The sequence below is a fragment of the Homo sapiens genome, chromosome 19, assembly GCF_000001405.40.
Source record: "Homo sapiens chromosome 19, GRCh38.p14 Primary Assembly".
NCBI classification, from domain to species: domain Eukaryota; kingdom Metazoa; phylum Chordata; class Mammalia; order Primates; family Hominidae; genus Homo; species Homo sapiens.
The window spans coordinates 37666936-37692784 of record NC_000019.10 but is presented as its reverse complement, the minus strand read 5'-3'; the positions used below and the strand labels follow the sequence as shown (position 1 = coordinate 37692784).

Below are 25849 nucleotides of genomic sequence, written 5' to 3'. Positions count from 1 at the left end.
ATCCGCCTGCCTCGGCCTCCCAAAGTGCTAGGATTACAGGCGTGAGCCATTGCCCCCGGCCTCCTCATCTTTAAATTCACAAAAAGATTGAATATGAAGAAAATAAAAGCCTGTGTATTTAGCACTAAAAAAAAAAAAGAAAATATAATAAAATGGCAGCTTTAAATCTATCAGTGGCTATATTAAATGTAAATAAATTAAATACTCCAGTTAAAAGAGATAGACGTTCGGGGTGTATTTAAAAGCCACAGACACACATGGTCTTCCGACTGCCCTATTCACATGCTCAGCCCCTGACAGCACTGGCTCTGGGACTAAGCCCCTCGGGCAGCCCTGAGCCTCCCAGGGCTGAGCACCTCGCTTTGAGCAGCTCCGCTACCGCGTCCTCCAGTCGGGAGGCGGCTGCGTTCCTGCGCGAAGCACGTCGGCCGCGAAGGCCTCTGGGAAATGTATTCCGGGCTACCAGCCCACAAACGCGGCGGAACCGGTTGCGGGGAGGTTGCTTGAATTCTCTCAGCTGCGCCCCCTGACCTAGTAGTCGCTGGCACAAGCTGCGCCCGGAGACGTGGGAGCGTTCTCTTGTTTTCCGAGTGCGCGGACTCATCGGGTCACAGTTTATGCTTTTATGACGCGGTGAGTCCAGCCACTGATTCCTAACGGTTTAGAGTGGGGAGGTTACGCTTGGGCGTCCTGGACGCTGGCCCAAGTGGTGGCTGTAGAAGACGCACGGATCCCGGGATGGGGCTGGAGGTTTGCAAGAGTCCATCCGAGGGGATTCTGGCTGCGAGTGTGACAGAGTATATGAAAGCCGCATGGAGGATCTGATTGTAGTGTGAGCGAGAGTGAGTGCCCGCGAGGGATCGTCACCTGAATGAAAGTCTCGGATTCACCGCCTCTTATCTTCCCTTCTTCGACTGTAAAATGGTGAAAATAAGGGTGCTTCTTCCAGGACGTCAGTTTACTCGAAAATTTGGAAAAGGCTAAATAATTGATCTGATAAATACTATAAAACAGGATTTCTGTGTAAAAGATAAATTTATTATTGTATAGAATACCAAATCAGTGTGACTTTTAAATACAAGAAGAAATATTTTAAAGGAACTTATTTTGTGGGACTCCTGCTTTTGTGTCAGACCCTCAGAGTAGGCATTTATTCTGTTGTTTAGGGAACACAACAGATTTGAGAAGCCTCGGATTAAGGAATAATTTATGAAGCTCCGTTGACTACCGTGGAGAGATCATAATTTGGGGTTCAAGATTCCAGGTAAGGCGCTATAACTCCACTTTCTGAAAAGCAAACCTTCGTTCAGAGAAGTCCTGGAGCCTTTTAAGGCTTCACCATTCCTCAGTGAGCCTAGTACCAGATTCATTCGGCTAATTTGTTCCAGTTTCCCCAGGCCACAATGTCTTTGGGATGTAAAGAAGCCTATGCTTCTCTCAAAGATCCTCCAAGTATTTCAAAACATTGACTGCACGTAAATTTAAATGATAAATTTATTATTAATTTTTTTTGAGGCGGAGTCTCCCTCTGTTGCCCAGGCTGGAGTGCAGTGGCATGAGGTCGGTTCACTGCAGCCTCGTGGGTTCAAGCGATTCTTCTGCCTCAGCCTCCTGAATAGCTGGGACTACAGGTGCGTGCCACCACACCCGGCTAATTTTTTGTATTTTTAGTAGAGACGGGGTTTCACCATACTGGCCAGGCTGGTCTCGAACTCCTGACCTCGTGATCCGTCTGCCTCAGCTTCCCAAAGTGCTGGGATTACAGGCATGAGCCATCTCACCTGGCCCAATGATAAAATTATAAAGAAATTGAGTACAAAATTAGGATCTGGAAATTTGTAGTCTTTATTTATATATTTTTTAAAGCCAACTAAAAGATGTAATGAAAGAAAATATTTGGACGGATGCGGTGGCTCACGCATGTAATCCTAGCACTTTGGGAGGCCGAGGTGGGAGGATCGCTTGAGCCCAGGAGTTTGAGACCAGCCTGGGCAACATGGTGAGAGCCTGTCTCTATAGAAAATAATTAAAAAAAAAAAATTTTTAGCCATGTGCAGTGGCATGCATATGTAGTCCCAGCTCACTGCACTCCAACTTGGGTGACAGAGTGAGACCCTGTCTCTAAAAACATTAAAAATATTAATAAAGAATATTACTTAGCAATTGTGCATGTTACAACATGGATGAACCTTAAAAATTCTAAGTGAAAGAAGCTAGATGCAAAATACTACATAGTATATGATTCTGTTTATATGATTCAAAGATAAACAGACACTAAAGCAGTGAAATTTTATTTTATTTTATTTTATTTTATTTGAGACAGAGTCTCGCTCTGTTGCCCAAGCTGGAGTACAGTGGCACGATCTCAGCTCACTACAGCCTCCACCTCCCAGGTTTAATAGATTCTCCTGCCACAGTCTTCTGAGAAGCTGAGATTATAGGCGCTCGCCACCACGCCCACGTAATTTTTGTACTTTTAGTAGAGATGGGGTTTTGCCATATTGACCAGGCTGGTCTCGAACTCCTGACCTCAGGTGATCCACCCGCCTCAGCGTCCCAGTGTTGGGATTACAGGGGTGAGCCACCGCACCCAGCTGAGAAGAGATTTTATTCAGTACAGATTAAGCATTCTTAATGTAAAAAATCTGAAATCCAAAATGCTCTAAAATCCAGAACTTGATGTGCACTGACATGATGCTCAAAGGAAAGTTTATTGGAGCATTTCAGATTTTGGAGTTTTGGATTAGGGAGGATTAACTGCTATATAATGCAAATATCTCAAAATCTGAAAAAGTCTGAAATCTTCAGATTCCACTTCTGATTCCAGGCCTTTTGGTTAAGGGAAACTCAACCTGTAATAGCTGCTGCAATGGGGAAGTGAACTGAACTGGACTGGAGTGCAGTGGCATGATCTCGGCTCACTGCAACCTCTGCCTCCTGGGTCCAAGCGATTCTCCTGCCTCAGCCTCCCGAGTAGGTGGGCTTACAGGTGTACAACACTACACCTGGCTAATTTTTGTATTTTTAGTAGAGACTGGGATTCACCGTGTTGGCCGGGCTGATCTCAAACTCCTGACATCAGGTAATTCGCCCGCCTTGGCCTCCCAAAGTGCGGGGATTACAGGCGTGAGCCACTGTGCCCAGCCAAAGGGAGACTTTTTAAAGGCGGGGGTGTGCTAGGGAAAAGCCACTGAAGGGTGCAAAGGGGAGTTTGGTCCATGTACCTAGTTTGCTAATTGCCATTTTTCTGGAGAAGAAACAAAGAAACAGAGTTTTTTCTTTTCTTTTTTCTTTTTTTTTTTTTTTTGAGACAGAGTCTTGCTCTGTCACCCAGGCTGGAGTGCAGTGGCACAATCTCCGCTCACTGCAAGCTCCGCCTCCCGGGTTCACGCCATTCTCCTGCCTCAGCCTCCTGAGTAGCTGGGACTACAGGTGCCCGCCACCGTGCCCAGCTAATTTTTTGTATTTTTAGTAGAGACGGGGTTTAGCTGTGGTCTCAATCTCCTGACCTTGTGATCCGCCTGCCTTGGCCTTCCAAAGTGCTGGGATTACAGGCGTGAGCCACCGCGCCCGGCCTCTTTTTTTTTTTCTTTTTTTAAGACAGGGTCTCACTGTGTTGTCTAGGCTGGAGTGCCATGGTGCGATTGTGGTTTCCTGTAGCCTCGACACCCTGGGCTCAAGCGATACTCCCAGGTCAGCCCCCTAGTAGCTAGGACTACAGGTAAGTGTGACTAAACTGGTAATTAAAAAAAAAATTTTTGTAGAGGCGATCGATCTCACTATATTGCCCAGGCTGGTCTCAAACTACTGAGCTCAAACGATTCTCCCACCTCGGCTTCCCTAAAGTGTTGGGATTGTAGGCATGAGCTACCACACCAGCCAGTTCTCAGATCTTTTTAATTTTTAATTTTATTTTTTCATAATTAAGTATCAAGCAAAGTTCTCAAATCTTTTATTACAGAAGGCCAAGTGGTGCAGCTTGGAGCACTGCACCCACCAAAGTTAGGCCTTTACTCTTCCAGAGGGGCTGGGAGTTATGTCCCTGAATGTTTGCATCTCAGGTCCTTGAGGAAATAGTTCTGAGTGGCACATGGTAGGTATACATCTCAAAGGGCAGAGAAAGCATTTATAATGATAAGCTTTCCTAGCGGTAGCCAGACAGGCCCCTGAACTCCCTCTTTAAGCAGTTAGTTTTTTTTTTAGACAGAGCCTCGCCCTGTCAACCAGACTGGAGTGCAGAGGCACAATCTTGGCTCACTGCAACCTTGGCCTCCTGGATTCAAGCGATTCTCCTTCCTCAGCCTCCAGAGTAGCTGGGACTGCAGGTGCACGCCACCACCCCTGGCTAATTTTTGTATTTTTAGTAGAGATGGTGTTTCACCATGTTGGCCAGCCTGGTCATTAACTCCTGGCTTTAAGTGATCCACCCACCTCAGCCTCCCAAAGTGCTGGGATTACAGGTGTGAGCCACCGCGCCTGGCCAAAAACAGTTACTTTTAAAAGGGAGTTTAGGGGCCTGTCTGCCTACCACTAGGTTTTTAGCTGGAACAAATAGTAAATTCTCCAGGCAGCATTAAACTTTGTCAGGCAGGCATTTTTTTTTTTTTTTTTTTTATTGATCATTCTTGGGTGTTTCTCGCAGAGGGGGATTTGGCAGGGTCATAGGACAATAGTGGAGGGAAGGTCAGCAGATAAACAAGTGAACAAAGGTCTCTGGTTTTCCTAGGCAGAGGACCCTGCGGCCTTCCGCAGTGTTTGTGTCCCTGGGTACTTAAGATTAGGGAGTGGTGATGACTCTTAACGAGCATGCTGCCTTCAAGCGTCTGTTGTCAGGCAGGCATTTTAAGGGGGACTGGGGTCAGCCTAGGAACATGGTCTTAAAATGCTGGAAGCTATTCTAGAATTTGGGCAAGTCTCTTACCATAGGAGTTTGGATAGAGTTGTTATGTGCTATGTGCATGAGTTTATAGTTTACAGAGGCCGTAGGACCTGAAATCAGGCCGGGCGCGGTGGTTCACGCCTGTAATCCCAGCACTTTGGGAGGCCGAGGCGGGTGGATCACGAGGTCAGGAGATCGAGACCATCCTGGCTAACATGGTGAAACCCCGTCTCTACTAAAAATACAAAAAAATTAGCCGGGCATGGTAGCGGGTGCCTGTAGTCCCAGCTACTCGGGAGGCTGAGGCGGGAGAATGGCGTGAACCCAGGAGGCGGGGCTTGCAGTGAGCCAAGATCGCGCCACTGCACTCCAGCCTGGGCGAGAGCGAGACTCCGTCTCTCAAAAAAAAAAAAAAAAAAAAAAAAAAAGAAATCAGCAGGGAGATCCAGTCCTCCTTTTTATTTCTATGAGGTGGACAAATCCAGAGAGAAACCTCTTAGGGTAATGTCGGAAGCTCTCTACGGTCAGTGGCACCCTGAGATTACTGTCTCTGTAGGGGTGGGGGGCATGGGATGAGATATGGGTGTGTGGGGTGTGGTTAGGGTTGGGGGATAGATTAATATTGGGTAGGGTGATGCTGTGGGGTAGGGGAGACTCTCCAGATCATTGATCTACAGGGTGAAAGTAAACAGCTAATAGTGATTGATTAACCCTGACCCACAGCTCTGGTCTTGGGCTAGAATTTTAGAGCTGGAGGAGATTCGGGGAGAACGCTGGGAGCAGTGGCTCACGCCTGTAATTCCAGCACTTTGGGAGGCTGAGGCGGGTGGATCACCTGAGGTCAGGAGTTCAAGACCAGGCTAGCCAACATGGTGAAACCCTATCTCTACCAAAATACAAAAAACAGCCGGGTGTGGTGGCAGGTGCCTGTAATCCCAGCTACTGGGGAGGCTGAGGCAGAAGAATCACTTGAACCCAGGAGGCAGAGGTTGCAGTGAGCCGAGATTGTGCATTGCACTCCAGCCTGGGTGACAGAGCAAGACTCCATCTCAAAAAAAAAAAAAAAAGAAGGGGAGACACCTGAGAGTCACCAGAAATCGGAATTCCCTTGTCATGAATCCTTCTGGAAGCTCTGTGGAGAAAATTACACTTCCTAGAAGCCCTACCATGCCTGGACTATCTCAGTTAGGTATCTGAGACCGCTGAGAAGTGGCAGCTCCAGGTAGCTTCCATCCTGACTTTTCTTTTTGACACAAAGATAAGTAAAAGATGCTGGTCTCTCTCTGACTTCTATCTGTGTACACAGGCAGAGGACCTGGAGAACAGGCCTCAGTTTATATTGACACAAAACTGGTTTCTCCTAATTCCATTCTCCTTCTCCAGTCTGTGTTTTTCCAGAGGTGCCCTGAGGAGCAGGGAAGCATGGCTATTGTGGATGTAAAAGCCATGTTCAAGGTGAGGGGAGATTTCTTTCTTCTGTTAACTACTTGTTTGTTTTTTCTCGGAAATGCACTTTCCACTTTGTTATAATGATCAAGTTTGGCTTGAGATTTGCCAGCATGATTTGTTTTAGGCCATATATCTACCTGGACCATAAAAGGCGGTATGCTTTTCTTTTTTTACTCAAGCACCTCCTAGGCCATGTGGGGACCTTAATATCTGTGTTCTAGAGAAATGTAATTCTCTGCATCTCAGTTTCCTCATCTGTAAAATGGAGGGAATGATAGCACTCACCTGTAGGTTTGTTAGAATGACTAAATTGATACATGTAAAGCCCTTAGGTATATTGGCACATAAAGTATATTCAATTTATTAATACATGAACTGTTACGATTATATTTTGTACTAAGTTATCTATGGATCAGGGAAAACAAAAATATAAAATTAATTGTGATAGATATTTGCAAATAAGAAAAAGAGCTAGACACTCAAGTAGTATAGAACAGGAGTTTTTAATCTGCAGGTCATTTACTTCATATATTGGCCACAAATCCCTTGAAAATTTTTTTCCTGAAAGAGGTGTAGAATTTATTCTGACTTCAAAGGTATACATCTGTGGCCTAAAAAGATGCCTGGTTTAACCATAGATATGACCTTACAAACAATCTGTGCCTCCCAAATGGAAAGAACTAGAAACATTCTTCTCCATTCATGTGCTAGAATATTTAACACAAAGATGTGAAGTAACTTGCCCAAGCTGGTGCACAGCAGAACTGGAGTGCAAACCAGGCAGTCTGGCTTCACTTGAGCTCTTCTCCGGTGTGCTCTCTGTTTCTTCATTTGGTGACTTTCTAAAAATCCACTTATCAAGAGTCACATCACAGGCATCTATAAGCATAGCTGCATTTTATTTTATTTTATTTATTTTTTTGAGACAGGGTCTTGCTCTGTTACCCAGGCTAGAATGCAGTGGTACAATCACAGCTCACTGCAGCCTCGACCTCCTGTGTTCAAGTGATACTTCTACCTCAGCCTCCCGAGTAGCTAAGACTACAGGTGTGCACCACTGCACATGGCTAATTTTTGTATTTTTTTTGTAGAGACAGGGCCTCACTATGTTGCCCAGGCTGGTCTCGAACTCTTGGGCTCAAACGATCTGCCCCCCTTGGCCTCCCAAAGTTCTGGGATTATAGGCATGAGCCAACGCATCTGGCCTCTGAGCTGCATTTTAAATTATTGTGTTATATGCTCTTCTAAAATTATAGTTGTTTTTTTTTTTTTTGAGACGGAGTCTCACTCTGTCACCAGGCTGGAGTGTAATGGCGCGATCTCACTGCAACCTCCACCTCCCAGGCTGAAGCAATTCTCCTGCCTCAGCCTCCCGAGTAGCTGGGGCTACAGGCGCATGCCACCACACCCAGCTAATTTTTGTATTTGTAGTAGAGACAGGGTTTCACCATGTTGGCCAAGATGGTCTCAATCTCTATTTTTTTTTTCTTTTTTTTGAGATGGAGTCTCGCTCTGTTGCCCAGGCTGGAGTGCAGTGGTGCTATCTCAGCTCATTGCAACCTCCGCCTCCTGGGTTCACGCCATTCTCCTGCCTCAGCCTCCGGAGTGGCTGGGACTACAGGTGCCCGCCACCACACCCGGCTAATTTTTTTTTATTTTTAGTAGAGACGGGGTTTCACCGTGTTAGCCAGGATAGTCTCGATCTCCTGATCTCGTGATCCACCCGCCTCAGCCTCCCAAAATGCTGGGATTACAGGCATGAGCCACCACTCCCAGCCAAATTATAGGTTCTTTTAAAGACCTGCCCCCTTACGTAGTAATTCGTCACGTATATCTTTCCTTTTTACTTAAAATGTTTGGTCATAGCTGTTAATGGTAGTGCAGTCATCTGTCATGTAACTGTTCTGTGATATATTCTTGTGTTCACTAAATTTTGCACTTTTCTAGGTTTCGTTTATTGATAACTTCCCAAGTATAGAATTTTTAGGTAAAATATTAAGCATTTATTAATGCCAGGAATATCAATGATTCTGTGCTAATACTTGGGAGAAATGAAGTGATTAGAAAGCCCTAGTTAAGTTTCTCTCAATCTAGCAAGGGACATATAATCTATACAGAAATAGATTAAAGTGTGACAGGAACTAGCGAAACACAGATGCTTTTCCTTGTGGGCTCATGGGAAGGTGACATTCTGACCACAGTAACCTCTGCTGTTTTATGAGAAAACCATCTTGAATACATAGAAACTCTGGAGATAAAGAGATTTTGTGTCGTAAGCGTTATGCCATGTAATTTTTTTTTTTTTTGAGACTAAGTCTTTCTCTGTCGTCCAGGCTGGAGTACAGTGGTGCAATCTCGGCTCACTGCAACGTCCACTGGCTGGATTCAAGCAATTCCCCTAGCCTCAACCGCCCGAATAGCTGGGATTACAGGCACCCATCACCATGCCTGGCTAATTTTTTTTCTATTTTTAGTAGAGACAGGGTTTCACCATGTTGGCCAGGCTGGTCTTGAACTCCTAACCTCAGGTGATCCGCCCACCTTGGCCTCCCAAAGTGCTGGGATTACAGACGTGAGCCACTCCACCCGGCCTTATGCCATGTAATTTTTAAATAAAGTTTTTTTGTAAATAAAGTTTATTTTTGTAAATAAACTTTTAATGTTAGATATACAGTCAGACGTCACCTAAGAACAGGGATACATTCTTCTGTTGTTAGGTAATGTTGTTGTTAGGTGATGTCATCATTGTGTGAACATCAGAGGGTGGACTTACATACACCTAGATGGGATAGCCTACTACACACCCAGGCTATATAGTATAGCCTGCAGCTCCTAGGCCACCAGCCTGTATAGAATTTTACTGTACTGAATACTGTAGATAGTTGCAACACAATGATTTTATGTATCTAAATATATCTAAATACAGAAAAGGTACAGTAAAAATATGGTATAGGCCAGGCGCAGTGGCTCACGCCTGTAATCCCAACACTTTGGGAGGCCAAGGCAGGTGGATCATGAGGTCAGGAGTTCGAGACCAGCCTGGCCAACGTGGCGAAACCCCGTCTCTACTAAAAATACAAAAATTAGCTGGGTGTGGTGGCAGGTGCCTGTAATCCCAGCTACTCGGGAGGCTGAGGCAGGAGAATCGCTTGAACCTGGGTGGCGGAGGTTGCAGTGAGCCAAGATTGTACCATTGCACTCCAGACTGGGTGACAAGAGCAAGACTCCATCTCAAAAAAAAAAAAAAAAAAAGGTATAAAAAGTAAACAATGGTACACCTGTACAGGGCATTTACCATGAATGGAGCTTGCAGGACTGAAAGTTGCTCTAGGTGAGTCAGTAAGTGAATGGTGAGTGAATGTGAAGGCTAGGACAGTACCATACCCCACTATAGACTAGAAACACTGTATACTTAGGCTACACTAAATATGTGAAAATTTTTTTCTTCAATAATAAATTAACTTTAGCTTACTGTAACTTTTTTTACTTTATGAACTTCTTGATTTTTTAAAACTTGTTGACTCTTCTTTTTTGGAAATGGGGTCTCACTCTGTCTCCCAGGCTGGAATGCAGTGGTGCGATTATGGCTCACTGCAGCCTTGACCTGCTGGGCTTAAGCCATCCTCCCGCCACAGCCTCCTGTGTAGCTGGGACTATAGGCACGCACCATCATGCCCAGCTAATTTTTGTATTGTTTGTAGAGATGGGGTTTTACCATGTTGCCTGGGCTTAGTGGTGTTTTTTATGATGGTAAAAGATAGTATATCCTCAATGCAAAAATTCAGAAAATGTGGAAAATCACAAAGTAAAGATTACCTATAGTACGACAACAACGAAAAATCTTTCCAGATCTTATATATATCCACACACGTGTGGGTTTTCTGCCAAAAGTGGTTGACAGTCACTCTTCTGTTTGATAACTCTAGGATGACAATGACTATTCCGTTTAATAATGCTCTCTGTTCACTAGAAAATTGAGGTAAAAGATTTTTCATGTTACAAATTAAGGAGAAACTTTTTTTTTTTTTTTTGAGATTTGAGATGGGGTCTCCCTTTGTCTCCCAGGCTGGAGTGCAATGGTGCAATCATAACTCACTGCAGCCTCAATGTCCTGGGCTCAAGGATTCTCCTGCTTCAGCCTCCCAAGTAGTTAGGACTATAGGTGTGGGCTACCACACCTGGCTAGTTTATATATATATATTTTAGAGACAGGGGGTCTCTCTACATTGCCCAGGCTGGTCATGAATTCCTGGTTTCGAGTGATCCTCCCACCTCGGCCTCCCAAAGTGCTGGAATTACAGGTGTGAGTCACTGCGCCCCACCCCAAAGCTATCTTTTTTTTTTTTTTTTTTTTTTTGAGATGGGGCCTCACTCTGTTGCCCAGGCTGGAGTGCAGTGGCATGATCTTGGCTCACTGCAACCTCCGCCTCCTGGGTTCAAGTGATTCTTCTGCCTCAGCCTCCTGAGTAGCTGGGACTACAGGTGCACGCCACCACACCCAGCTAATTTTTTTTGTATTTTTAGTAGAGACGGGGTTTCACCATGTTGGCCAGGATGGTCTCGATTTCCTGACTTGGTGATCCGCCTGCCTCGGCCTCCCAAAGTGCTGAGATTGCAGGCATGAGCCACCGTGCCTGGCAAAGCTATCAGTTTTATGATTATCTTGTTTTTCATTATATTAATACAATAATGGTTTGTTAAACTGTTTCCTCTTTGTACACATTTAAATCTTCATTTGAATAGAATCTAAGATGTATAATTGCTGAGTTTAAGGCATGCCTGTACATGCTCATACATTTTTCTAAATATAATCTTATGTGCAGGATGCCCTGAGATTATTTCTCATGTAATCATATGGGGTGTAACCAGTTGTCTCATTTTGCTAATCTCATAACTGGGAAATGATATTTCTTTGTTGCTCTACTGTGGGCGGCAAGCCACCCAGGCGCCGAGGCAAGAGATCGAGGACACGAGCTGTTCCAGTATAATAAAATATAAAACAAGAATAGTTATACCAGATATAGATCTTAGAGATATATGAATATCATTAATCATTAGTTTCTAGTAATTACTCTTTATCCCAATATTATAATAATCCTCGCTCTACAATCATAACCTAGGAAAAACCAGGCCATACAGAGATAGAAGCTGAGGGGACATAGTGAGGTGTGACCAGAAGAGAAGAGTGCGAGCCTTCTGTTATGCCCGGACAGGGCCAGCAGAAGGGTTCCTTGGTCTAGCGGTAACGCCAGTGTCTGGGAAGACGCCCGTTGCCGAGCGGACGGTGGTCTAGCAGTAGCGAAAAGTGTCAAGGAACAATACCTGCTACTTAGCAGACCGGGAAAGGGAGGCTCCCTTTCCCCGGGGGAGTTTAGAGAAGACTGTGCTCCTCCACCTCTTGTGGAGGGCCTGACATCAGTCAGGCTTGCCCGCAGTTATCCAGAGGCCTGACCGTCTCCCTGTGATGCTGTGCTTCAGTGGTCACGCTCCTAGTCCGCCTTCATGTTCCATCCTGTACACCTGGCTCTGCCTTCTAGATAGCAGTAGTCAATTAGTGAAAATACTAATAGTCCCTGATATGCAGAAATAATGGCGTAAGCTGTCTTTCTCTCTGTCTCCTCTCCCTCTCTGCCTCGGCTGCCAGGCAGGGAAGGGCCCCCTGTCCAGTGGACACGTGACCCACGTGACCTTACCTATCATTGGAGGCGACTCACATTCTTTACCCTGCCCCTTCTGCCTTGTATCCAATAAATAACAGCACAGCCAGACATTCGGGGCCACTACCGGTCTCCGCGCATTGGTGGTAGTGGTCCCCCGGGCCCAGCTGCCTTTTCTTTTATCTCTTTATCGTGTGTCTTTATTTCTACACTCTCTCGTCGCCGTGCACAGGGAGAGACCCACCGACCCTGTGGGGCTGGTCCCTACACTCTACCATTCAAATCCTTGATTTCAAGTAGCATCTTACCTCTCTATTGAAATTTCTTTAGTAGTTGTTGTTTTAGAATTCTTCAAATTTATTTGCATCTTCTGCAAGGAAGTCTTCAAATTTATTTGTATCCTCTTTATTAAGATAGAGCGGGGGTCCCCAAAACCTGGGCCACAGACCAGTACTGGTCCTTGGCCTGTGAGGAACCAGGCCACACAGCAGGAGGTGAGTGGCAAGCAAGTGAGCAAAGCTTTCTCTGTATTTACAACCGCTCCTTATCACTCACATTACTGCCTGAGCTCCACCTCCTGTCAGATCAGCGGCGGCATTTGATTCTCATAGGAGCGTGAACCCTATTGTGAGCTGTGCATGTGAGGGATCTAGGTTGTGGGCTCCTTATGAGAATCTAATGCCTGATGATCTGTCACTGTCTCTCATCACCCCCAGATGGGACTGTCTAGTTGCAGAAAACAAGCTCAGGGCTCCCACTGATTCTACATTATGCTGAGTTGTATAATTATTCCATTATATATTACAATGTAATAATAATACAAATAAAGTGTACAATAAATGTAATGCACTTGAATCATCCTGAAACCACCCTGTCCCTACTCTGTGGAAAAATTGTCTTCATGAAACCAGTCCCTGATGCCAAAAATGTTGGGGACCGCTGAGATGGAGGTACTCCCTGCCCATCTTTACTGAGGTATAATTGACACATAAAAATTTTATATATTTAAATATATATTTATATATTTAATCTTTTGATAGAAATGTACATTGTGAAGTCATTGCCACTATCAAGCTAATTAACATATTCATTACACGATAGAGGTTTTAATAAGATATTTTGGGAAGATTCCCTCAAATGTTCCATTTTATTTTGTGAAAAGAGAAACTGTACTAAGAACTTTAGAGACTATCAGCCTCAAAGATTTGCTAAGATGCAGAAAAGCTGTTATTCTTACAGTTATGGTTTATTCTAGTAAAAGGATACATACTAAAGTCACCAGAAAGAAAAGGTACATGGACAAAGGTTAGGAGAAACCAGGTACAAGCTTTCAGGTGGCTGCTTCCAGAGGAGCTATACAGGGACACACTTAATGCTCCTAACAATGACATGTCACAACATTGTGTGAACTATTGCCAGCCAGGGAAGCTCACTTGAGCCTTGGTTTCCAGAGTTTTTATTGGGGAGTCAGTCTTGCAGGGATTTATCACTCAATACCTGACTTTAGCTACTCAGTCTCCAGTTCCCCAGATGTCAAACTGATACAGCATGCTCCAAGGCCTGTGGCATACAAAAACAATCTTATCAGGTAGGATATTTTAAGGGCTCAGAGGTTATCTCCCAAGAGCCAGTCAAGGGCCAGTTCTTTCTTTGGCACGTGCAGGATTTGAGCATTCCAGGTGTACTGAGTTACCTGTCCACTCACCCAGGCCTTGGCTTAGGCTCTCTTGTAGCAAAACTACCTGAGCAGCTACACAGAAACAGCAATAGTATCAGGATGTAGATGGCTATCATTTCAAGGAGCCAGTATGGAGTAGCAATGGATTTAAAGAAACAACTAACCTATCCAATAAAGCCATTACATGCATTCTCATATTTTTGTATTAATTTGATTACTCATTTCCCTCCTTGAATCTACTGTTATGTGCCACATGATAAACTTGTACAGAACTATTGAGCGTAGAAATTAGCTGATGGTTGGTTAAATTCTCCCTGAAGCCAGTCTTTTTCACTGTTACTTCATTAGCCAGGTATGGTGGTATGTGCCTGCAGTCCCAGCTACTCGGGAGGCTGAGATGGGAGGATCCACTTGAGCCCAGGAGGTCAAGTCCAGCCTGGACAACTATCAAGACCCCATCTCTAAAAATAAATAAATAACATTTTAAAAAAGATTGAAAGGTAAAGTTCCAGTTTCTTGTTTAGGGATCACCCCTGCTTCTGTCACTTGGAGTTACAGTCATAGTCCCAGGGCCACTGCATCAGGTAGGAAAAAAGAAAGTTGAGGTTATTTGGGGAAGATTTGTGTAACTGTGCCAGCATTCTGCCATGCACCCTCTCCTCCTAATTGCCCACGACAGTAGAGGAATCTCTCTAGTGGAGACTGTCTTTGGCTTTCCCCATCTTGAGAGTAAGCACATCCTCATGAAGGAATGCAAGCCAGCCCATACTTTACTTTCCCTTACTTTAGCCAACAACTCTATAGCTCTCCTATTCTAATTGTCTACCAAACCACTACTTTGAGGATGATATGCATCATGGTATATCCAATTGATGTGAGAACTCTTTGGACATTGTTGGACACTGCGGGGTGTAAAGTGTTTCTTTTGGTCTGAATAAATATAACACAGCAATGCCAATTGGCACGTTTCTATTCAAGGAGTTTTATAGTATTTTGAGCCTTTACATCTACCACAGGGGAAGTGTGTCTATCCACTGCCAGGATCCTTTTGTAGGCTCCCAGGGCTACCAGTGGCCATCGGATAGAGTCTACATGCTATGCTACCTCTCCGCGTGGGCCTTCCCTGCTGGAAATCAGACCTAATTTGTTCTTCAGGTTCTGATGTTATCATTATCATCAATGTAGTATATTGTTACACTTAGGACTGGTCTCAAGTCCACGCTTTCCTAATCAAATTGTAATAGTAAGCTAGTGAATTCAAATAACCTGTGAGAATACAGTAGATATAAATTGGGATTGTCCCCTCATGAAGGCAAACTATGGTTGTCTCTTTCCCAAGATTGGGATAATGAAAAAAGCATTTGCAAGATTAGTCAGAGTACTGGTGTCCTTTAATTCGGTGGTACTACTTCATTCAAGCCTCGACAATCTACTGTTAGTCTCCCCCTTTGGCACAGACCTATCAGGGTTATTGTATAGAGAATTGGTTGGTACCAGCACTCTAGCTTCTAACATGTTATTAATGAAGTGGTAATCTCTTGTATCTACCAGGTATTCTATACAGCTTCAAATTAACAACCTACATAGGCTGGGTGTGGTGGCTCATGCCTGTAATCCCAGCACTTTGAGAGGCCAAGGCGGGTGGATCACCTGAGGTCAGGAGTTCAAGACCAGCCTGGCCAACATGGTGAAACCCTGTCTCTACTAAAAATACAAAAATTAGCCAGGCGTGGTGGCACACGTCTGTAATCCCAGCTACTTGGGAGGCTGAGGCACAAGAACTGCTTGAACCCGGGAGATGGAGGTTGCAGTGAGCTGAGATTGCGCCACTGCACTCCAGCCTGGGTGACAAAGCAAGACTCCGTCTCAAAAAAAAAAAAAATTAACAACCTATGTGGGCTTCAGCAATTCTATAGGTTCCTGTTTGGCCTGTCTAATAACATTGATTGAAGGACAAACTTACATGCCTTTAGTTTTAAAATACTAGGTAGGAGAAGTGTTCCTCAGTCAGACATAATACCCTTCCCCATTATGTATTCAGGTAAGGAGATGTAACCACTTCACATAAGGTCCATTCAGACCTTCTAGTTTTCATTTAAACTTTCACCTTAATAACAATCAACCACTGCATCCCCATATCCTCCCAATCTAACTGTAGTCCCTATTAGGGTATCACCAACAGATTTTGGAATCACACTGCACTGGGCTCCATGTCAAGGAGTCCTAGAAATGTTTCTTTTCCATCCCTGGTCTTAACTCACACACATGGATATAGCCTTGGTCCTAGCTTGGTTCGTCATCCTGATTAATTTGTCAGGCTGTTGCCTTAGCGATTCAAGATCAGGTTTCTCAGTGTCATCTTTGCATTTCAGCCTTTTAAGTTCCTTCAAATTAGGAGAAATAAAACATGGTCCTGGGATTACAGGCAAGAGCCACTGCGCCTGGCCCAGTTTCAATTTACATTGTTTTACACTGTTGGCTTCTCAACATGTTCCGATTAATAGAAATTTCCCACAGTGGCAGGATGTTGTATCTACCTCACAGCACAGGACTGCTCAACAATATGTGTGTATTCATTTCCTTATTGCCGCCTCCATAAGTTTCCAATTTCAACCTACTGCTTACTATAGAATGCCTTCTAGGAAAATCCCTTTTTATGTCCTTATCATTCACCTAAAATATATTTTCTTTATTATTACATATGTTAAATGGACTTTTCCTTTAAAGGATTGGTGACATTCAGGGATGTGGCTATAGATTTCTCTAAGGGAGAGTGGGAATGCCTGGGCCCTGCTCAGAGAGACTTGTACAGAGATGTCATGTTGGAGAACTACAGCAACTTTGTGTCACCGGGTAAGATCACCTGTTCCCTGTAATTCAGAAAATATTCTCTCCACTGGGAATTCTGGGGCTGCATTAAATATCTAAATTTCTGTTCCATGTTCCAAAAAACTGGTTTGAGTTTTGTTTTCTTGGAATAGATTGCTACTCTCAAGCACCTTCATATTTCTTGTTCTTCACTGACCTTCACTCTTTCCCTGGGCTCCTTATGTAACTGAGTTTTTTCTTGATTTTTAAGGAGCTAGATGATGGTCGAGGGACATTTATATAATAACCTGTAGGATTTAAGACGTGATGGTTCATCTACAATTTAGGAAAACACATACCCTGTTATGTTTATGTTTGAGAGCTACATTCTAGGAATTTGACATTTCACAGGAAGACACATTGATTCTGTCTTGAGGCTTCTTGCTTTTTCTTACCCAAATAAGTAGAGATAGAGCCCACGTAGATTTAAATTTAACTAAGACCTTTCTGCCTCATTTGTCTCTTTGTTCCTTGTGTTCCTTAGGTCAGCTTAATGTGAATGTATTCTGACGTCTTCATCATTCTTTTATCCAAAAGCTTCTCTGGGGCCCATTTTTAAATTTTATTTATTATTATTATTATTATTATTATTATTATTATTATTATTTTGAGTCAAGGTCTCACTCTGTTACCCAGGCTACAGTACAGTGGTATGATTGTGGCTCACTGCAGCCTCAAACTCCTGGGCTCAAGTGATTCCCTCACCTCTGCCTCCCAAGTAGCTGGGACTACAAGTGTGCCACCGTGCCCAGCTAATTTTTTAAATTTGTGTAGAGATACGGTCTTGCTATGTTGCCTAGGCTTATCTTAAACTCCTGGCCTCAAGTGATCCTCCTGCCTTGGCCTCCTAAAGTGCTGGGATTACAGGCGAGAGCCAATATGCCCAGCCAAACTTTTTTTTTTTTTTTTGAGACGGAGTCTCGCTCTGTTGCCCAGGCTGGAGTGCAGTGGTGCAATCTCGGCTCACTGCAATCTCTGCCTCCCGAGTTCAAGCGATTCTCCTGCCTCAGCCTCCCAGGTAGCTGGGACTACAGGCATGTGCCACCACGCCCAGCTAATTTTTTGTATTTTTAGTAGAGACGAGGTTTCACTGTATTAGCCAGGATGGTCTCGATCTCCTGACCTCATGATCAGCCTGCCTCGCCCTCCTAAAGTGTTGGGATTACAGGCATGAGCCACCATGCCTGGCCAAAACTTTTTATTTTGAAATGATTTCGAGAGCTAGAACTAACCAGTATGCCAAATGTCCATCTACTCTTCAGTCAGTTTTCCCTAATGCTAATAATTTACATAAGCATAGTACAAATATCTAAACCAAAAAGTAAAATTGATATAATATTAAGTTATCTATTTCCTTTTTTCAAATGTCATTAATTATCCTGGTACTGATCCAGGATCCCACTTGTACTGATCCAGGATCCCACATTGCATTTAGTTGTCTTGTATCTGTAGCCCTCTTCAATCTTGGAAATGTTTTTTCTCTTTTATGACCCTAATTAACACTTTTAAACTGTGCTGGCCTGTTATTACATAGATTATTCCTGGATTTAGATTTGTCCTTTTTTTTTTTTTTTTTTTTTTGAGACGGAGTCTTGCTCTGTCGCCGAGGCTGGAGTGCAGTGGCGCGATCTCAGCTCACTGCAAGCTCCGCCTCCCGGGTTCATGCCATTCTCCAGCCTCAGCCTCCCAAGCAGCTGGGACCACAGGCGCCCGCCACCATGCCCGGCTAATTTTTTTGTATTTTTAGTAGAGATGGGGTTTCACCGTGTTAGCCAGGATGGTCTCGATCTCCTGACCTCGTGATCCACCTGCCTCAGCCTCCCAAAGTGCTGGGATTACAGGCGTGAGCCACCGCGCCCGGCCTTGACCCATATTTTTATGATTACTTTAAAGTTATGTATTTTTGGGAAGAATACTACAGAAGTGATGCCTTTTTCAGTGCATTGTATCAGGACATAAATAATGGCCAATCAAAAACAGTATCTTGTTTTGATGCTTGAAATGGTATCCTCTAGGGTTCCGCATAGTAAAGCCACTATTTTTACCTTTGCAATCAGTAAGTAACTTGTAAAGAAATTTGAGGCTCTACAAATACCCTCTTGCTCATGACATTTTTATCACTTTAGTTTCATCAGTGATTCCTGCAGAGAACAGTTATGGTTATTATGTTTTTGAGACAGGGTCTTGCTCTGTGACTCAGGCTGGAGTGCAGTGGCATGATCTTGGCTCATTATAGCCTTGACCTCCTGGATTCAAGCAGTCTTCCCGCCTCAGACTCCCAAGTAGCTGGGACCACTGGCGTGTGCCACTACACTTGGCTCTGACAGTAGTTATTTCCTCTGGTGTTTGCCAAATTATGATTTTCTGTTTCCATCAGTCTTCAGAGGAACCTGAATTAGCTTTAGGTTAAACCAATTCTAAATAAGAACATTTTTTGGCTTATTTATTTTTAGTATCCTATTTCTTTGAGCAGGACTTGCCATTTCTAAGCCATCAGTGATTTCCCTATTGGAACAAGGGAAAGAACCCTGGATGGCTGGGAAAACAGGGTGGTATCCAGGTGGGTAAGGGTGTTGGGGTACTCCCAGCAGAAGTGCATTTTAGGGAAGCCCAAACTGGTCAGAGTGGTGATGTCTTTTGTTTGAGATATTGTGTGGAAACCTTCCCTCAGAGGCCCAAGGTCTTGGGAGAAAAAGTTTGACAAATGGGAAGTATTTCAAATATTTACAAAGAACTTTTTTTTATAGCAGATGTATTGAGGCATAATTGACATATAATGAACCAGCTATGTTATAAAGTACATGGTTTGACAAATTTTGATGTGTGAAATGGTATACTTTATATGTGTACATGTTTGCTCATGAAACCATCACCATAATTAAGATAAAAAAACCTATTAATCACTCCCATTGCTTCTGATCTAAGGAAAAAAGACTTCTTTATTATTATGATGATGAGACAGAGTCTCACCCTCTTGTGCAGGCTGGAGTGCAGTGGTATGATCTTGGCTCACTGCAACCTCCACCTCCTGGGTTTAAGTGATTCTCCTGCCTCAGCCTCCCGAGTAGCTGGGACTACAGGCGTGTGCCACCATGCCCAGCTAATTTTTGTATTTTTAGTCGAGATGGGGTTTCACCATGTTGGTCAGGCTGGTCTCGAATTCCTGACCTCGAGTGATCTGCCCACCTCAGCCTCCTAAAGTGCTGGGATTATAAACATGAGCCACCGCGCCCAGTCAATATTTTTTTTACTGACTACGATATTTCTTGTAGATTTTTGAATGATGTCCTTTACTTGAGAAAGTAAGTTCCTTCTGTTTTTAGTTTGGCAAGAATTTTTATGATGATTCTGTGTTGAATTTTTTAAGAGTATTTTGTTTTTATTCAAGTGATCATGTCATTTGACTTTTAAAATATGTTAATATGTTGAATTACATTAATTGATATTCAAATGCTAAGCTGACTTGTTCATGAGGTAAATGCCATTGAATGTTGTGTTATGGATTTAATATATATATTATTGGATTCTATTTGCTATTATTTTAAAAGGATTTTTGCATGATCATTCAGGAGGAAAATTTGTAGTTTTTGAATGGTTTTTTGGTTTCAGTTGCAGGGTAGTGGTGGGCTTCTGTAATTAGCTGTGAGTTATTTCTTCTTTGACTATTTGATAGGATTTGCCATTAAAGTCATTGGGCCATGTTTGTCCTTGGGGCAATGTTTTTACTATAAATTCAGCTTCAGTGATAAATAGACAGCTATTTCCTTCCTTCCTTCCTTCTTTCCTTCCTTCCTCCCTCCCTTCCTCCCTTCCCTCCTTCCCTCCCTTCCTCCCTCCCTCCATCCCTCCCCCCTATCCATCCCTCCCTCACTCCCAGGGTCTTGCTCTGTCACTCAGGCTGGAGTGCAGTGGCATGATTACATCTCACTGCAGCCTCAACTTTCTGGGCTCAGCCTCCCATGTAGCTGGGACTACAGGCATACACCACCATGCCGGGCTAATTTTTCTATTTTTTGTAGAGATGGGGTTTTGCCATGTTGGCTAGCCTGGTGTCAAGTCAAAGTCCTGGGCTCAAGCGATCCATCTGTCTTGGCCTCCCAAAGTGCTGGGATGACAGATGTGAGCCACTGCACCTGGCTTGTTTTACTTATTTCTTCTTGACTGATCCTTGGTAGTTTGTGTCTTTCAAAGAATGTGTCCATTTTCTCTAACTTCTTATACTTCTGGATATTAAATGGTTCATATTTTCTTATGTAATTATGTTTAATTTTTACTTTTATTATTTATGTAGGGTTTATAATTAGAAACCCCTTTTTGTTCCTGGTATTTGTGTTTTTCTTCTTGTTTTTTATTGGTAGTTTGGCTCCAAGGTTTATCAAGTTTGCTAATCTATTCCATAAACCAGTTTTTGACTATTAATTATCTCTGTTATGGTCACTTTTCTCATTCATTGATTTCTGCTCTTATCCTTGTTATTTCTTTACTTCTACTAATTGTAGATTTACTTTGCTCTTTTTTTTTTTTTTTTTTTTGGAGATGGAGTTTTTGCTCTTGTTGCCCAGGCTGGAGTGCAATGGCACGATCTTGGCTCACTGCAACCTCCACCTCCTGGGTTTAAGCGATTCTCCTGCCTCTGCCTCCTGAGTAGCTGGGATTACAGGCATCCACCACCACGCCCGGCTAATTTTTGTATTTTTAGTAGAGACGGGGTTTTACCATGTTGGTCAGGCTGGTCTCAAATTCATGACCTCGTGATCCACCTGCCTCGGCCTCCCAAAGTGCTGGGATTACAGACATGAGCCACCTTGCCTGGCCTGCTTTGCTCTTCTTTATCTACTGTCTTGCAGTAAAACCTTAGGTTGTTTATTTTATACATTTTTCTTTTCTAATATAAGCATTTAAAGCTATAGGTTTCACTATAAATGTTACCTTAGCTATATAACATATTTTGGTGTGCTATACTTTTATATTGTTCATTTCTAAGTATTTTCTAATTTCCATGTGTATTCTTTAGTTTTCAAGTATTGGGGGACAGGTTCCAGAAATTTTAATAATTTCAAACTGAGTTCCATTGTGATCAAAGAAAATATTCTGTGTGACATTGATCCTTTTTAGTGTATTGAGACTTGTTTAATGTCCCAGCATATGGTCTATTTTGAATGTATAGGTATTTGAAGAGAATGTACATTCTGCAGTTTTTGATATTGTGTTTTGTGTATATCAACTAGTTGAAGGTGGTGGACAGTGTTACTTATATGCTCTATTACTTTACTAATTTTCTGGGGGAGGGGGATGTTCCAGTCGTTCTATCAGTTATTGAGAGATGGTTGCAAAATCTCCAACTATGATTGTAGAATTATCTATTTCCTGCTTTACTTTTGTCAATTTTTGCTTCATATATTTTCAGGCTCTGTTATTCTGCACCTACACATTTCTGATTGCCAAGTCTTCCTGATGAGTTATTATAACTCTTTTATCATTATGAGAAAATTATCTTTGATAATATAGAGTAACTTGAAGTCTGTTTCATCTGATATTAATATAGCCATTCCAACAATTTTTTTCTGCAAATTAAATGCCAAGATTTAAAAGTTATCTAAGCCATTTCTTGCTTAAGGGCAATATTATCTGTTTGACTGCTTCTATGCAGTTTTATTTCTCATAAAAGAGGAAAACATGATGTTTATTTTCTTTAAGATATGCTGTCTAGATATGAGACCAAGGAGTTAACTCTTAAGAATGGCACTTTTGAAAAGGAATCATTAAAATGGAAAATAATAGAAAGTGTCAGAAGTTCTTGCCTTGAGGAATCTTTTTTGGGAAATGATTGGAAATGCAAAGGACTCTTTGAGAGACAACAGGAAACTACAGAGGAATATTTCAGGCATGTAACTGTGCCATTTGAAAAAATATCCGAATTCATCCAGCCTACATATTTTCTTCTAAATCAAATAATTCATACTGGAAAGAAACTCTATGAACAAAAAAAAAAATGAGAAAATGTTACTCAACAGGGAAGAATTCATATCAGTGACAAGCTTGACGAAATGTGTGGGAACACCTCTGTATTTTGCACAAATCATATGAAACATCAGACAAATTTTAATGCAAAGAAATGCAATGTATTTAAAGAATGTGGCAGAGACTGCTTGTAACTTTCAACTAACTCAATATCAAATAAGTCATGCTAATCAGAAACCCTATGAATGTCAGATATGTGGAAAGCCCTTTAGAAAGCGTGCCCACCTTACCCAACATAATCGAATTCACACTGGTGGGAAACCATATGAATGCAAAGAATGTGGGAAAGTGTTTATCTGTTGTTCAACATTGATTCAACATAAGAGAACTCACACTAGTGAGAAACCCTATGAATGTCTGGAATGTAGAAAGACGTTTAGGCGGAGTGCACATCTTATTCGACATCAAAGAATTCATACTGGTGAGAAACCTTATAAATGTAAGCAATGTTGGAAGGCCTTTGCTTCTGTTTCTGATTTAATAGACATCGGAAAATTCACACTGATGAGAGACTTTACGAATGTACAGAATGTGGGAAGGCATTTAACAATCGCTCAACTCTTATTCAGCATCAGAGAATTCACACTGGTGAGAAGTCCTTTGAATGTAAGGAATGTGGCAAAGCATTCAATAATTGCTCAACACTTACTCAACACCAGAGAACTCATACTAATGAGAAATCTTATGAATGTCAGGAATGTAAAAAGGCTTTTAGGCAAAGTGCACATCTTACTCAACATCAAAGAATTCATACTGGTGAGAAACCATATGAGTGTAAGTAATGTGGGAAGGCTTTCACTTGTGTTTCTGATTTTAATAGACATCAGAGAATTCACACTGGTGAAAAACCCTATGAATGTAAAGAATGTGGTAGAGCTTTTAACAATTGTTCAGCTCTTATTCAACACCAGAGAATTCACACTGGTGAGAAGGCTTATGAATATAAGCAGTGTGGGAAGGTTTTTGTCTCCTGTCCAACACTTGTTCAACATCAGAGAACACATACTAATGAAAAACCTTATGAATGTCAGTAATGCAAGAAGGCCTTCAAGCATAATGCACATCTAATGAGACATCAGAGAATTCACAGTGGGGAGAAACCCTATGAATGTAATGAATGTGGGAATGCCTTCATTTGTTTTTTTGATTTTAATAGACATCAGAGAATTCACAAAGGAGAGAAACCCTATCAGTGTAAAGAATGTGGGAAGGTTTTTAATAATTATCCAACTCTTACTCAACATCAAAGAATTCATACCAGTGTGAAACCCTATGAATGTAAGGAATGTGTAAAGACCTTTACTTGGCTTTCAAACTTGAATAAACATCAGACAATTCACACTGGTGACAAACCCTATGAATGTAAAGATTGTAAAAAAGCTTTTCTTTGTTATTCAACATTTATTCAACACTATAGAACTCATACTAATGAGAAACCTATGAATGTCAGGAATGCAGCAAGGCCTTTAAGCAGAGAGCCCATCTTAGTCAACATCAAAATATTCATACTGGTGAGAAACCCTATGAGTTTAAGGAATGTGGGAAGGCCTTTGCTTGTTTCCTACCTTAATAGAAATCAGAGAATTCACACTAGTGAGAAACCGTATCAGTGTAAAAAATGTAGAAAATCCTTTATTGATTGTTCAACTCTTAACACCAGAGAATTCACACTGGTGAGAAACCCTTTGAATGTCAGGAATGTAGGAAGGCCTTTAGGCAGAGGGCGCATCTTACTCAACATCAAAGAATTCCTACTGGTGAGAAACCCTATGAATGTAATGAATGTGAGAAGGCCTCTTCTTGTCTTTCATAGGTGAAAAAGCACCAGAGAATACATACATGAAGGGACAAATCTTATGTATTTGAATAGCGTCTTTTTATTTAACAATCCTTATCTAACATCACCAAATTCACATTGCAGAGAAACTTCAGAAATATAAGAAATGTGGGAAACACTTTTACCTGTCCCTCAGCTATACTTTTTCATAACAGAATTTGTACAGGTGAGAAGCCTAATGAAAGCCCGATATGTGTAAAGATCTACTCTCACAATATACTCAACATTATATAATGTATAGTGTGATTAATATAGGAAATCCTTGATTTTGAAATTATCAATTATGGAATAGCAAACAATTTGTAAGTGAAGAAAATCCAGTGACTGTAAATTTTTTTACCTCATAATTCACAATTTATTAAGCATCAGAATTTATATGGAAAAAATAGAATATCAATTATTAATAAAAACATTACCACTAAAATTTTATTTGACTTATAGAGAATAGCATATAGAGAATAATCATGTTGACTTTGTGAATGTAGAAAAGCTTTTATCTATTACACGAATCTTTTTCAGCATCATTATACTTTCACCAGTTTCCACGTCTGTTTTATTACCAAGTAATTTAAACTGTATACTTCAGATTACAAATTTCTTACATTGTGATAAGGTTATTGTGAAGATTAAATGAGTTTATCCAAAGACTTTGGGAATAGTTATTGGCAAATAGAAACTATTCAGTAAATATTGGCTGTCATGATTATCACCTTCATTACTACTCTTGGAATATTTATATAAGAACATTTAATTATGCAGATTTTACTAATATAATGAAATCCACCATCACAATTTCTCTGACTGCAAATCTATGATAATTTATTCTGGAATGAAAATTATTAGAATATAGTGAGTATGAGGAAACATTCATTTAAATTTATTTTAGTTGAATCAGAAAATTCACTCTGGAAACACTGAATGGATATAGTAAGTAAATTTTTTTAGAGTAAAGTTGATATGAGAAGTGATATATCTGAAGCAAGTTTCAAAAAGCAGTGTACGTTTTCTGACAGTAACTCAAGACAGGCTGGGTGTGGTAGCTCATGCCTCTCATCTTAGCACTTTGGGAGGCCGAGGCAGGTGGATCACTTTAGGTCAGGAGTTCGAGACCAGCCTGGCCAGGCTGGGCCTGGTGGCTCACGCCTGTAATCTCAGTACTTTGGGAGGCTGAGGTGGGCGGATCACGAGGTCAGGAGATCAAGACCATCCTGGCTAACACAGTGAAACCCCATCTCTACTAAAAATACAAAAAATTAGCCAAGCGTGGTGGCGGGTGCCTGTAGTCCCAGCTACTCGGGAGGCTGAGGCAGGAGAATGGTGTGAACCCGAGAGGCGGAGTTTGCAGTGAGCTGAGATTGTGCCACTGCACTCCAGCCTGGGTAACAGAGCAAGACTCTGTCTAAAAAAAAAAAGAAAAAAACAATGAGACCAGCCTGGCCAACACGGCAAAACCTCATCTC

The 25849-nt window shown here is 42.1% G+C and overlaps 1 pseudogene across 4 annotated transcripts; it reads left to right on the top strand.

Annotated features, from left to right (window-relative positions):
- Nucleotides 1-469: 469 nt before the first annotated feature.
- On the top strand, nucleotides 470-25034 carry ZNF781 (zinc finger protein 781; annotated as a pseudogene). 4 transcript variants are annotated; one of them, NR_173332.1, is made up of 6 exons: nucleotides 470-633; nucleotides 1167-1264; nucleotides 6263-6334; nucleotides 14012-14163; nucleotides 16391-16516; nucleotides 22229-25034. The product of NR_173332.1 is annotated as a zinc finger protein 781, transcript variant 4 (transcript). The 4 variants fall into 4 exon arrangements; NR_173331.1 differs by lacking the exon at nucleotides 14012-14163; NR_173329.1 differs by lacking the exons at nucleotides 14012-14163; nucleotides 16391-16516.
- Nucleotides 25035-25849: the final 815 nt, after the last annotated feature.